At 42.2% G+C, this 15,097-nt stretch overlaps 1 protein-coding gene and 1 pseudogene across 11 annotated transcripts in view, besides 1 other annotated feature; both read right to left on the bottom strand.

Annotated features, from left to right (window-relative positions):
• Positions 1-8,917, bottom strand: part of RGSL1 (regulator of G protein signaling like 1) — a 112,721-nt gene extending 103,804 nt beyond the window's left edge. For 7 of the 11 annotated variants that reach the window (XM_017001189.2, XM_017001188.2, NM_001366934.1 and 4 more), the window contains exons 1-2: positions 6,616-6,648; positions 2,754-2,836 (exon numbers count right to left, since the gene is read on the bottom strand). In XM_017001189.2, the coding sequence (XP_016856678.1) occupies positions 2,754-2,797 (44 nt within the window). In that variant the 5' untranslated portion in view covers positions 2,798-2,836; positions 6,616-6,648. Of the gene's footprint in view, positions 1-2,753; positions 2,837-3,239; positions 4,077-6,615; positions 6,649-7,494; positions 7,597-8,429; positions 8,472-8,759 lie in introns of those variants that run through there. The other 4 variants (XM_017001193.3, XM_017001191.1, XM_017001192.3 and 1 more) reach the window with 4 other exon arrangements.
• Positions 6,203-6,810: an enhancer, noted in NCBI's record as "OCT4-NANOG hESC enhancer chr1:182419119-182419726 (GRCh37/hg19 assembly coordinates)". NCBI's record gives its function as "activates a minimal SCP1, AML or CMV promoter by ChIP-STARR-seq in naive H9 embryonic stem cells {active_cell/tissue: H9 hESC(naive)}" and the evidence as "EXISTENCE:reporter gene assay evidence [ECO:0000049][PMID:30033119]".
• Positions 14,343-15,097, bottom strand: TEDDM2P (transmembrane epididymal protein 2, pseudogene; annotated as a pseudogene).

Below are 15,097 nucleotides of genomic sequence, written 5' to 3'. Positions count from 1 at the left end.
AACTTAAGGAGTATTCAACATGAACTACTACTGCTGTCTCTCTTTATAGGCCACAGCTGCCTAAGTGGCTAGGACTTTCTTATACTCTTGGCTGGAACTCCCCTCCCCAATCACTCTCTGTTTCTAGAACATTATTGTGAATTGTTTTAATTGTGTTGGTGAATTGACTGATTAACGGGTCTTAAGATTACTTCTCGGCCAGGCGTGGAGGCTTACGCCTGTAATCCCAGCACTTTGGGAGGCCGAGGCAGGCGGATCATCTGAGGTCTGGAGTTTGAGATCAGCCTGACCAACATGGAGAAACTCCGTCTCTACTAAAAATACAAAAGATTAGCTGGGCGTGGTGGTGCACGCCTGTAGTCCCAGCTACTTGGGAGGCTGAGGCGGGAGAATCACTTGAACCCAGAAGGTGGAGGTTGCAGTGAGATGAGATTGTGCCACTGCACTCCAGCCTAGGCAACAAGAGCAAAATCTGTCTCAAAAAAAAAAAAAAAGATTACTTCTGAAACCTTCATTAAGACAGTGGCAGAGACAATAGTAAGAGTGAGAAACACATAAAAGACCCACTCCCCGAGAGGCCTTTTCCTTATCCTCATTTTAATCCTGTTGCCTGACACCACCATCCATCCAAGCACCCAAGCCTGTTACCCTTGCTTCCTTTCTTCCTGTTACCACCTTGCCCAACACTTAAACAGTGACATGGTCCTATATTTTGTTTTGTTAACAATCTCCTCTACTTATCCCATCCTCCTCTCCCCTTTCCCTTTAGACCCTCATTACTTCCCACCTAGATGATTGAAACAACCTCCTAACCGCTTTCCCTTCCTCCATTAAGGTCTCCTGCCCACCCATTGGCCAGACCTCTGCAGAGTAGTTTTCTCGGATGAAAGTCTGAACATGTTACTCCTTTACTTCAAATCCTTCGATGGCTCTCTAACACCTTGGGGTAATGTCCAAACTCCTAGGCATAGTTTGCCTGATCTCCAGGGCTTGGCGCAGCCTGCCTGTGCAGCTTATCTCTTGTGGCATCTCACCCTTACAACTGTTCTTCAGCCTTCCTGAGTTACTTACAATTTGCCCCAAAGTGTCAAAGGATTGTGTTCTTTGGTGCCTTTACTTTCTCTGTTCTGTCTATAATGCTTTTGTTTTTCTTGCTATTCACTCCCTAGTCTTTTCCTCCTATTTTTATTCTTTTTTTTTTTCTTTCTTTTTGAGGTGGAGTCTCGCTCTGTCACTTAGGCTGGAGTGCAGTGGTGCAATCTCGGCTCACTGCAACCTCCGCCTCCTGGGCTCAAGTGATTCTCGTGCCTCAGCCTCCTGAGTAGCTGGCACTACAGGCTCCCGCCACCACGCCCGGCTAATTTTTGTATTTTTAGTAGAGACAGGATTTCACCATGTTGGCCAGGCTGGTCTCAAACTCCCAAATTCAGGTGATCCCCCCACCTTGGCCTCCCAAATTGCTGGGGTTACAGGCATGAGCCACCGTGCCCCGCCTCCTCCTATTTCTTTATGCACCCTTTCCTCCTCACCTTCTGCTTCCAGTTACCTGTCAAGTACCTCCTTGTCTTTTAATATTTGTCTTGTGTCAGCTTTTCCTGACTTTTCCAGGTAGGGATGATCTCTCTGTCTCATGAGTACTGTACTCCCACTGCCTCCTAAAAACTTCTGTCATGTCACCCAGACCTTCAATAAATATCTCTCACACTAGACTGGGAATTCCATGAGGACAGGAATGCAGGGATGGTGTCATTAATATGTGCATCCCCAATACTAAGCCCAGCCCAGGGGCTGGCACAAAGTAACCACCCAATAACCATGTGTGGGATAGAGAGGGTGCTTCTCCCACTTGACTGAAATTTCGCCTTTTAGTATATACCATCTTATGGGAAAGGGTGCATCAAGATGAGTCACAATTCATAAGGCACCAGTGTTAAAATGTCACCAAGGATTTAAACCAAAAAAGATTCAGGATAAGTCCAGGTTTGAGTTTAAGAATACTTTGATGTTTGAGGTTTGTTTTAGTTGCATAGATTAAGGAAATAGATAGGTTTGTTCCAGTCAACAACAATTTCTATGCACTAAACACCTGGTAAAGGGAGTAGAGCAGAATAAATAATCCTCAGTCCTTGTCCTGCAGAAATTCACTGTCTCATAATCTACTGGGGGCCACACACACACACACACACACACACACACACACACACACATACAACTCAAGAGAGTTGCAAAGTGCCAAGGGGCTCAGAAGCAGAGAAGTTCCCATCAGGAGGTTCCAATGCTGAGGACCTAGGAATTCCTTAAGGAGAATGGAATTTAAGCAGAGATTTGAAGAGTATTTAAGATTTTCGTAGGTGGAACTATGGGAAAGGTATTCCTGGCAGAAAACAGACACAGCCCAAGGAGAGGTTCAGAGGTGGGGGAATGCCAGGGGTACCCAGTGAGGGTAGACCTCTGTCAACAGAGCACTGGGGATCAGCAGAGGGTATGATGAGAAGTAACTTTGGACAGGTAAAGGCAAGTAAGGAGGCTGGGGATTTAGGATCTGATGACATCAACAATGGGAAGCTTTTGGAGATTTTACAGGTGGTTCTGGTTCATGTTTATTTGCTCAAATTAAAAGAGTTTTTTTATTTAAGAAGACATTTAGTAAAACCCCAAATAACAACAAACAAACAAAAAAAGTCACTCAGCTCTGTGAGATTCACTATTCAGCTGCTGATGAAATATTTGTATTTAAATCTGAGAATGCTTACCGGGAGGGAAAGAAATGTGTTGAAAAAATCGGCAAAGACTTCATCCTCTAGCAGAATTATAAGATTTGTAGAACCAATTATCTCTATATGGAGAGAGAGAAATAAAAAAACAAAACATGAACCAGAATTGCATTCAGGTTCAGAAAATGAAGCAATCGAATGGATCATTTCACGTTGCCAAATCTCAGCATGATGACAGCCTCTAGGGTCATGCAATTCAATTTGCATGTCCTTCTCCAGGACTCTCTTTTTCAATATCGTTCTGCTTAAACACTCCCAGCTGTGGGGAGCTCACTGACTCAGGTATGCCCATTCCGTTTATGAAGAAGGCGAAGTGGTAGATTTCTTTTTTCCTACTGTGACTGTCTTCCTTTATCTTATGTATGTAAAAATCACGCCCTCTGAAGCTTGACAGAATTCACTTAAGTCCCCTTAAAAGGGACAGTGCTTCCAGTATTTATAAAGACATCACAGACGTCTGCTTACCTCCAACCCCACTGGCTAGTCACCAGGCAATTCTTCAACCCATTCCTCACATGGCCTTCTCTCCATCTGGTTCTCTCATTGGCTGGAGTGGTACTCACAACTGAAATACTTCAAATGCTTCCCAGAGCAGAACATAAGAGAACCCTTGCCTAGGTTGCATCTGATGTTAGTGTAATGGGGCCTGAAGTGGGGTTAGCTTTGGGGGCTCTCATATTACACTATTAACTCCATTATGCTTTTACTTATGAGGTCACATTTCAGAAACCAAGGGCAGGAATGTACATTTATTCCAGTCAAATTTCAACTTGGTAGGTTTGGTCTAACATTACTGCCTGACAAGAGCTTTCTTGAATATTAATTTGATCATGCAACATACTTATTACTTCTCTCAGGTGTGATCATCGTGCTGCCCAAGTTAATTCAAGAAGATAATGTCATAAAGCCAAACACGGAGACCCCAGGTGAATGAAGCAACTAACTCCTCTAGTAAATAAGAGTTTCCTCTAATTTACTGTCTATGCTCCTTAGAGCACAATATTCAGCTAGTGAATAATAAACTAATTGTTTTATCAATGGCCCACCATCACTCAGTCATACCCAAAGTTCATAATGAAAGACTGAAAAATGGGTCCGAATACTATGCCCTAAGCTCATCTCTCAACCTAAGCATCTGATGAGGACAGTAAGTGCCATGCACAGTCACAAACATGTAGTTATGATATAAGAAAACTAAACAATCATTTTTCCTGATGACACTGGTGGTTGTTGGCTTCATATATTAGAAATAGAATTAGAAACTCCTGGCCAGGCATGGTGGCTCATGCCTATAATCCCAACACTTTGGGAGGCTGAGGCTGGTGGATTGCTTGAGGCCAGGAGCTCAAGACCAGGCTGACCAACATGATGAAACCCTGTCTCTACTAAAAATACAAAAATTAGCCAGGCATAGTGGCGGGAGCCTGTAATCCCAACTACTTGGGAGGCTGAGGCAGGAGAATCGCTTGAAGCCAGGAGGTGGAGGTTGCAGTGAGCCGAGATCGCACCACTGCACTCCAGCCTGAGTGACAGAGTGAGACTCTGTCTCAAAAAAAAAAAAAAGGAAACCCAGATAAACACTATTGTGAGTGACAGAGCTGGTATCAGCACTTGCCCTCTGTTCACATACATCTTTTTTCTTGCTGTCAAGTGCTATGTGTGTTTTATGTGTACCCCTCCCAAGCCCTCTGCTCTTCTTTTTATAAGCAGTCCTTGATTTATTTAATCTATTCCATATGGGTGATTCCAAAATCTGTGTTTTCAGTCCAGGCTTCTCTCCTTCACTCTGGTTTTAAATATACATGAGCTATGGGCCAGCTCTACATGCATATCCATCAGGCACTTTCATCTCAACATGTTCAATGTGTCCAGGCCTCCCAACCTGCTCCTTTTCCTACATTCCCAGTCCCAGTTACTGGAATTATCATTCAATAAATTATCTAATCCTGAAAACTGAGGCTCTTCTCTCTGTCTCTGTCCCTGTCTCTCACTCTCACTCTCACTCTCAATCTCTCTTACTCTTGCTCTTACTCTCTTGTTCTCTCTCTCTCCCCTCCATGTCCCTACATGCAATGGGGGATCATGCTGTATGGTTTCTCTTTGTACCTATCTCTGGAATCTGTCTTCTCCTTTCCATCCATAAAGTTACTCTTCCATTACAGGCCTCTATGCTCTCTCACCTAGACTTCTGCATCAGCTTCTTAAATGGTCTCCCTAGCTCCCACCTCTTGCCCTTCCAACCACCCTACACGTACTGCCACCATAATCTGTTGATATTATTATTGTTAAAGTCTTTCAAAATCTCCTTGATGTCCTAGAAGGTAAAGTCCAAACTCTCTAGTATAGTATCTGAGGCTTTACCCCATCTGGCTTTTGAGTTTCCTCCCAGTCTCATTTCCTGCCTCTCTGCGCACTCTGCCTCCTGTTTGCAAGCTAAGCCAAGGCATTGCTGTTTCCTGCATGTGCTAGGTACTCTCACTTGAAACCTCCATGTCTTTGTTCCCATATTCCCATTGCTTCAAATGTTTTCTTAAGCACAGTCAGCTCACAAATTAATAGTCATCCATTAAGAACTGGTTTACATATAATCTTGGTGAGCCAAGAAAGGTAGAATCTACTGCAATGGTAGAATTCATCACTATCTCCCTATACCATCACGTATATCCTCCATTATTACAATTAACAAGTCTGACTGTTTTTATCCATCGATATATCTGTCTTCCTCATCAGACTGAGCGTGTGAGAGGAGGGACTTTGTTTTTTCACCTTTCTTCCTCTAGGCTCTAAAAGTGTTTGCACAATGTCTAAGTTCTGTAAATGTGGAATAAATTGTTCTTTCAAAAGATAATCTTCAATCTTTTTTTTTTTTTTTTTTTGCCAAAGTCTCACTCCGTCACCCAGGCTGGAATGCAGTGGCAAGATCTCAACTCACTGCAGACTCTGCCTCCCAGATTCAAGTGATTCTTGTGTCTCAACCTCTCCAGTAGCTGGGATTACAGTGCATGCCACCACACCTGGCTAATTTCTGTATTTTCAGTAGAGATGGGGTTTTACCATGTTGGCCAGGCTGGTCTTGAACTCCTGACCTCAGGTAATCCACCTGCCTCAGCCTCCCAAAGTACTAGGATTACAAGGGTGAGCCAACGCTCCCAGCCAATGATTTTCAATCTTTTGGACTTTTGTTTGTTTATCATTCATAGAGTCTAACATGGATTTGTTGAATGAGTATATTACTGAGCCCATCTGAATACAGAAAAGTGGGGTTTGGCAGAAATTCCCTAGTGATTGTTGTTCACAGCTACACACACCGCTGGTGGCAAGGGGCCTGACTATGCTAGGGCTTGCCATTGCCAAAACAGTCTTAAGGAGATATAGAGACAAGGCTCTGTACATCCTTCCCTTCCTCATCCTCTCATTTCTCCATTCTTGTTTTTCCTTCTTACCTGTTCTGCCTTCAAACTTCCTAATAATTTGAGAAGGCTTTTAGCACCCATTCCACGCCATAATAATATTGACTTGGCAACAAATGAAATCACTGCATAATCTCAAACCCCATACCAGTCTTCTCTCTGGAGGAGAGGTGGCCCAATCCACATTTTACTTCCTCCCTCTTGCCTTAGTTGTCTTATGAATAAGGCCCTGTACTATCCTCAAAGATCTGGTGGCAGAAGGTAGGAGGAAGGGGAAGAAGGAGAAAGAGAAGGAAAACAAAGGCATGAATAACACAAAAGTCACCCATGGTGCCCCTGAATGGCTCAGATCTATTAACAATTGGGAAGATGAATGGTTTGCCTTATTTGAGAGACTCAAGGCCTTGGAGACATCCCTGGCAGAGACTCACCAGCACTGCTCATGTTGCCATGCTCTTCCTGACACAGTAATTTGTTAGGGGCAGAATTACCCCCCAGTCAATAGAACTATATCCATTGTGAACACGTAATGACACCTTCTCTAAGGGGTTCCAGATTCTATCTGGCAGTGATCTACTTACCTCTGGTGTAGGCCTTAATCTGAAGATAAGTCTTTATCTTACCTAATCTGCTGAATCCCCTTGGACATACAAGACTCCTCCTATACTTAAGCCTTTAGTTCATACTATTTTATTTGACAAGTTCTTTATAATTGTGCCCAAGATCTCTTGTCTGCTCCAACCTCTCCCATGCTAGGGTGACTTTTGCATTGCTAAACTCAGCTCCTAAGGGTCTTGTAAACGGTTACATTTGATGTAATTTTAATAAGCAGTAACTCCTGGATATTCTGCCCATTTAAAACATCAACCTCCATTGCTTCAGCCCAGGAATTCAAGGCTGCTGTGAGCTGTGATCACACCACTGAACTTCAGCTTGGGCAACAGAGTGAAACCTCATCTTTAAAAAATTAAAATTAAAACATCAGCTTCCAAGAGGTTTGAACTCCCTTCCTCTGAAGACTCTTCAGGCTCTTGGTTTTCTCATTAAACAACTCTTCATTTCTCCTGTTCTTCCCTAATAGGAAGTAAATATTAAGATGAGAGACCAAAAGCCCTATAATCCTTCAAACTTTAGCCAAGAATTACTGAGAATAGAATTCTTCAGTGTCACACCCAGAGAGGGCTTTTAAGTCTTGGGATTGTAGGGAAGCTTATATAATGTCCAAAAGGCTTTCCTATGGGGGGTGGAGGGAAAACTGAAAACTGGAAGGATTATTGTTAATAATGAATCGTCAATACAATATCACTTACATTTGAAAAAGTGCTGTACTTTCTTTAGAATATATAAAGACCAAATACTGCATTTTAAAGTGATTTTAGTGAGAAGAGATTCTTGCTTTACATCTTGATGTTCTATGTATTGCAAGATGAGATTGTAGCTTACCATACTTCTTCAATCTGTTATCAATTACCTTATTCACCTTATTAATTAGTCAGTTTAACATGCACACATCTTAAGAGAGTTCAGTGTGAAGCACTGCATGATTCTACAATATCATATTATTCCTTGAATTATCACCTCTTTTGCAAAATAAATAGAGTCAAGGTCTCCTCCTAAAATAATGGCATATACAGTAGTAATATATGCTCACATTCCTTAAGATGGAATGCTTTCAGACTGTTTTCAATCAAGCTGTGTGCACCTACCCTTGAGTCCTAATTGCTGCCCCACCGTCTTTCCCACAGTTCAAAAAGGCTGACTGTTGGAGCCATTAACAACCAAATAGGGTCACTCTAAAAACAGTAAAGATGAAAAGCCAGTATCACTGGCTAAATCTTGAAATGCATAATGGTTAGATCCCTGACCCTTTCATGACCTTCTAGTTCCCAAAAGAAAAGGGCACCAGATGTCTCCCAAATGTGTGGTAATAAGAATTACCTTATTGACAGGGTTGTTGTTAAAAACCTAAATTGCCGGGACCGTCCCCTGGCAATTCTGATTTAGAAGGGGTGGGGCTCAGGAGTCTGTATATTTTCCAAGTGCCCCCAGATAATTATTATCATCAGGTAAATATAGAAAATATTGGGGCCAGATGCAGTGGCTCACGTCTGTAATCCCAGCACTTTGGGAGGCCAAGGTGGGTGGATCACTTGAGGACAGGAGTTAGAGACCAGACTGGCCAACATGGGGAAACCCCTTCTCTACTAAAAATACAAAAAAATTATCCAGATGTGGTGTTGCGCACCTGTAATCCCAGCTACTCAGAAGTCTGAGGCACAAGAATTGCTTGAATCTGGGAGGCAGATTTTGCAGTGAGCTGAGATCGTGCCATTCCACCCCAGCCCGGGCAACAGAATGAGACTCTGTCTCAAAAACAAACAAACAAACAAACAAACAAACAAACAAACAAATAAATTGGTTTCTAAATGAAATAGAGCTGCATTCACATCTCAGATCTGACATTTACTAGATCTGATCTGGTTTGCAAAACTCTGGGCATCTCCTTTTCCCAAGTGCACAGTTACCCTGGAAATGACAGCAGGTCTCTTTGGCAAAGATTAAGAAGAATATTCACCGTAAATACTTGCAAAATATTACAAGATTCTTCCTAACTGGTAAAATGCTTTTTTTTTTTTTTTTAAATTTCAGAGCTTCTAGGTCTGACTCAGGGCTGAAAATTGGATGAGGGACCTGATTTTCTACCATGATGGCTCATTTTAGGCTCCTGTTCATTCACTCAACAAATATTTATTGGGCAGGTCTATGTGACACAAACTGTTCTAGGTGTTTGTGATGCAACACTGAATAAACAGTCTAAAATCCTTGCCATCACAGAGCTTATACTTTCCAGTAGAATCTTATTGAATGAACACACATTTTTTAAGGACCCCATGATCAATAACCACTATAAAGAATCTGTGGGTTAGATCATTCAGATATCCACACAGGCTCAACTGCCTATTATGATAACTACGCTTATTTTGTTTTTGATGGTTAACACGACCTCCAGTAGAAATAAGAACCAATTTCAACTACAACACATCTTTTTCAGCATTTGTGGTTGTCCCCATTGTGCCACTACTGCTAGCACCACCGCTATTGAGTGTTTGTTGTCATAGGCACTGCCATGCATAACCTCTCATTGCTCCTGAGCTTCTGAGTCTTCCTTCAAGATGAAAAGTTTTGGGCTGGTCATGGTAACTCATGCCTGTAATCCCAGCATTTTGGGAGGCTGTGGCAGGTGGATCGCTTGAGTCCAGGAGTTTGAGACCAGCCTGGGCAACATAGTAAGACCCTACCTCTATTAAAAAATGATTTTTAAAATTAAATGTGTATATATTCTATATTTAATTATATATCATATATTTAATTTTAAAGATTAAATGTATATATCATATATTTAATTTTAAAGATTAAATGTATATATCATATATTTAATTTTAAAGATTAAATGTATATATCATATATTTAATTTTAAAGATTAAATGTATATATCATATATTTAATTTTAAAGATTAAATGTATATATCATATATTTAATTTTAAAGATTAAATGTATATATCATATATTTAATTTTAAAGATTAAATGTATATATCACATATTTAATTTAAAAAATAAATGTATATATCATATATTTAATTTTAAAAATTAAATGTATATATCATATATTTAATTTTAAAAATTAAATGTATATGTCATATATATCATATATTTAATTTTAAAAATTAAATGTATATGTCATATATATCATATATTTAATTTTAAAAATTAAATGTATATGTCATATATATATTTAATTTTAAAAATTAAATGTATATGACATATATATCATATATTTAATTTTAAAAATTAAATGTACATATCATATTTAAATTTTAAAAGTGAATGTATATATCTATATTTAATTTTAAAATTGAATATGCATTATATATAATTAAATATAAATTTATAAATATAAATATATATACATAAAAGTTCTGGGTGGAGGATCTGATTGCTGAGTCCAGGACAGGATATCCATGTCCTTACTGCCAGGGCCAGGAGAGAGACTGTCTGGTCCCCTCTGGCATCCATAGTGGGAGACAGTCCCTCCAAGACTCACACAATAAATTTTCACTCTAAATAAAAAAGAAGGTCAGAGAGTGAGTGACCAAAAGGTTTTTGAGATACACACACATATCTCTATGTTAACTGGATTCTGTGCTTAGTCATATGCATCTAACTTTAACAGGAAGAAGAACTACATCATGTTTACTGGGTGCTTGGACAATACTTGCTTATATACTTTTCCTGCTCTTCTCTCTATCCCTCTGTCACTTCGTTTAAATGGGTCATTCAATACCAAATGGAGAGTAAGTGCCCTTTCCAGGCTCATGTAAATATGGTGCCCTCTGGTGCACGGTGTTGAACATTACACTTTTCTTTTCAAAACTCCACTCTGTAATTTGAAGGTTTTGTTTCTGTTTTTCCCCAAACATAATCTTCAGTTCGTTTTACTTTCCAAAGTAATTAGGATCACTGTCAGAGTGCTCACACCTGCTGTGACATGAGAAGTACAGAAAGGCCCTTGTCATCCGAATAGTAGGTCTGCCTATTCCACCATCGTATCTGGCCTTAACTATAATCCTCTGTGGCTTTGTAGGCGCCTGTTAATATTATTTTACCTGGAAGATACAGTTGTGAGATATAATATTTGGAGGCAATCATTTACTACAAGAGATGAATTTATTAGTGTCAGGCTTCTGAGCCCAAGCTAAGCCATCATATCCCCTGTGACCTGCACGTACACATCCAGATGGCCGGTTCCTGCCTTAACTGATGACTTTCCACCACAAAAGAAGTGAAAATGGCCTGTTCCTGCCTTAACTGATGACATTACCTTGTGAAATTCCCTTTTCTGGCTCATCCTGGCTCAAAACTCCCCCACTGAGCACCTTGTGACCCCCACCCCTGCCCGCCAGAGAACACCCCCCTTTGACTGTAATTTTCCTTTACCTACCCAAATCTTATAAAACGGCCCCACCCCTATCTCCCTTCACTGACTCTCTTTTCAGACTCAGCCCGCCTGCACCCAGGTGAAATAAACAGCCTTGTTTCTCACACAAAGCCTGTTTAGTGGTCTCTTCACACGGACGCGAGTGAAAATTACTATTTAACAAGACTTCAAAAGTACTCAAAATGGAATGGTTCTAAGGGTTAACACATGGTTTTGGTATTTCTTTAACTTTCATCTTTGTGGAGAAATAATATCTTGAAATACTAATACTTGGGTTTTGGTTCCCAACCCTTGCAGATGACTTTTCCTCTATTAGTCAAAGATCTTGCATCAAGATGAGGTCAGATTATAATAGCAAAAAACAAAAAGTCAATTTTAGGTTAAAAAAATCTAAAATATGCTCTTAATATCAAAAAGGGGAGGTGTCACCAGGGGTGGTGGCTCACAGCACTTTGGGAGGCCAAGGCTGGAAGATCACTTGAGCCCAGGAGTTTGAGACCAGCTTGGGCAACATGACAAGACCCAGTCTTTACAAAAATCAAACAGAAAAAAAATTAGCTGGGTGTGGTGGTGCCACCTGTAATCCCAGCTCTGGAGGGTGGGTTGTGGGGGAGCTGAGGCGGGAGAACTGCTTGAGCCAGGGAGTTCGAGGCTACAGTGAGCTGAGATGGTGCCACTGCATTGCAGCCTGGGTAATAGAGCAAAACCCTGTCTCAAAAAAAGAAAAAAAAAAAAATCAGGAGGAGGCCTGAGTGAAGTAGAAAACAACTTTACCATATCAATGGGAAAGCATGTACAGGGGAGCAGATTCCCTGCCCCCTCAACTTCAAGGGTACGAGAGGAGGTTCAACAAAGCTAGAGGAAGGAGGAGCTGCAAGGCTTGGCCAAGGCAAATATATCCAAGGTTGTTGGGGAGAAACAAGGGGCTGGAAGCCAGAGGTGACAACCAGGAAAAGGGCAGAACCTACAGGGGGTGCTGCAGAGCCCCACTGGTCCCCAGGACCAGAGAGAAGCACAGAATCTGAAATGCACCTGAGGCATATTTTACTTCCATGCGAGGGACCCCTGTTCATCTCTAGTGGGGAGCAGCGTTGTTGCCTGATCGTTCCAACAATGCAGGTGTCAGCTTTCTGTGGAAGCTGCCTGCTGGTCACATGCCAAACATCCAACACATGCATGCCATCCCACATTCTGAGACGTGGCTGAGCCCCCACCTCTCAATGACATTGGGAAGCACCCTCCACCCCCACAATAACTCAGAATGCCCACCAACCCCCAAAACTAGGGGGTGAAGGTCCCTGACAACCAAACAACTCATTCCTGCTGTACCTTCACTTTTGACTGAGAAAATTAAAAAGGAAGAGTAGGGCCAGAACCAAAGGATGCATTTGCTTTAGGAACTAGAAAAAAAAAGGAAACAAGACAGTTGATAACCCTCTAGAGTCCCTGATCCCGCCCTCTATCCTAACTGGATGCTTTAGTCTTGTCAGGAGTGAGGAAAGCTTGACAGATTCTTCATGTCCTGGAGAAAGCAGGGGAATGGCCAGGCGCGGTGGCTCACGCCTGTAATCCCAGCACTTTGGGAGGCCGAGGCGGGCGGATGATGAGGTCAGGAGTTCAAGACCAGCCTGGCCAACATTGTGAAACCCCATCTCTACTAAAAATACAAAAATTAGCCGGGCGTGGTGGCATGTACCTGTAATCCCAGCTACTTGGGAGACTGAGGCAGGAGAATCGCTTGAACCCAGGAGGCAGAGGTTGCAGTGAGCCGAGACCACGCCAGTGCACTCCAGCCTGGCGACAGAGCGAGACTCTGTCTTGAAAAAAAAAAAAGCAGGGGAGCAGCAGAATGGGAGGCATGAAGGCACTCTTTGCCAGAGTCCCCAGTAATTTGACTCTACTTGGCGTTCTACCCTCCTTGACACCCAGCTATAGCATTATGTGACATAGCTAAATATCTAGCTACCTTAAGCCACTTTCTTAACCCTTTTGAGTTTTAGATTACTTACCTCTAAACCTCCCTGATAAGACATTTGTGAGGATTAAAAAGAAAAATATGGAGCATAAACAAGCCATTGAACTTTATTATACATGAGAACCACAAAGGAGTAGTTCCGGATGAGTTTATTGCTTGGAAATCAATCAGATATGTACAGAGCAATGGGCTGAAAGGCCTGGAAGAAGAATTTTCTAGACTCTACACTTGGGGAGACGGGGCTGAAGAAAGTCTGGAAGCAGACAAGCCTCTGAGCTCTCACTACATGCAGGGTGTTGCTTTGTTCTATTAAACCCTGCAGAGGGCTGGACATGGTGGCTCACATCTGTAATCCCAGCATTTTGGGAGGCAGAGGCAGGCAGATCACTTGAGCCCAGGAGTTCGAGACCAGCCAGGGCAACATAGGGAAAACTCATCTCTACAAAAATAAAAAATTAGCTGGGCATGGCGTGACGGCTTGCACCTGCAGACCCAAGTTTGGGAGGCTGAGGTAGGACGATTGCTTGAGCCCAGGAGATTGAGGCTGCAGTGAGTGGTGATTGCATCACTGCACTCCAACTGGACAATTGAGTGAGACCCTGTCTAAAACAAACAAACAAACAAACAAAAAATCCTGCAGAAGAAGTTACCTTCAAGGGTCCCATGTTTCATTTGATAAATCACAAAGTAATCAAAGGAAAGACCTCAAGAACATTCTAGGAGATCTGAAGAGTCAAAAACAGTCTCTTCAATATGAGCATTGAAGAGGTCCAGAACAAGAAAGAATGAGGAGGTGGTTATTGTAATGGGTAGATTATCATGTACTAAATATGACTAGCGGTAGGAATTCTATGTGCTGGGTGAAGGATATTTACAAAAAGGCCCAAAGGCAGGATATCATGAATTTATTTTAATGTCCTCATGGAAGGAGAATGAGGGATGCAGAGACATGCAGGGCACACAGATCACTGTTGCTGGAATTGAGGAGAGAGGGAAAGGGAGCGAAATACTTGGGGAGCTAAGAGTGAGGGCCATAGTTGCATGCCTTGTTTCATTCTCCTGTCCTCTGCACACTGCTCAGGAAATGAGACTGAGAGAAACCAGAAGGGGAAGGAGGGTATGCCTGTCCCAGAGAAGTCTGATGCCTCAGCATGAGACACCTCTGAAAGAAGGATGCAGGATTATCCTCTCTGGCAGCTCCACCTCCCACAACTTCTCATCCAGATGTCCTGGAGTATGCAGGCAATAGAGAACCAATTGTGGCACATCCAGGTTCAGGCCTTAACAAAAATGTAGCAATACCACCAAAAGGAGAAGCCATAGATCCAGATCATCAAAATTGGCACTGAAGATCACATGCCAACAGAAGAAGGTGGTGACAAACATAATGTCATTTCTGTCATCATCCATCCACTGATATAGCCAGAGATTGGTTTGAACAGCATAAAGCCTATGTGCATCAGCCAAGAGCCTGTGATCATATACAAAAAGGCCTTCGTGATCCAGATCAGTGGCATGTTGGGAGCCCACAGCTCTGCGGTCACCACCAGAGTCAGCAGGAACATGGCCTGGGTGAGCAGCACTTGAGACTGAAGCTCCACTCCTTCTGTGTCCTGCAGGTAAGACACCATCAGGGGCAGAAATATGAACATGCCCAGAGCCTGGGCACCTTGCTCCAGAGCAGCACATCTCTTGGGCAGCAGGTTCTGGCTCACCATGTCTACACACCCACTCAGCAAGAAAGTCATATAGAGAGTGAGATGCTGCCACTGTTTGCGGAACATAAAGTTTCTCTGATGATACATCTTGCTGATAAGCACAAACTGTCTAGGAATGCTGTGCAACTCTTGGGCTACTAAAATGCAGGCACTCAATATCTTCAGCAACCCATTGTAGTATATTTGCCATAGCCTCGCCCATCTTCCTTTGCTCCAGGGATG

The sequence above is a fragment of the Homo sapiens genome, chromosome 1, assembly GCF_000001405.40.
Source record: "Homo sapiens chromosome 1, GRCh38.p14 Primary Assembly".
In the NCBI taxonomy this organism is placed as follows: domain Eukaryota; kingdom Metazoa; phylum Chordata; class Mammalia; order Primates; family Hominidae; genus Homo; species Homo sapiens.
This window is presented reverse-complemented; position numbering and strand designations above follow the sequence as displayed.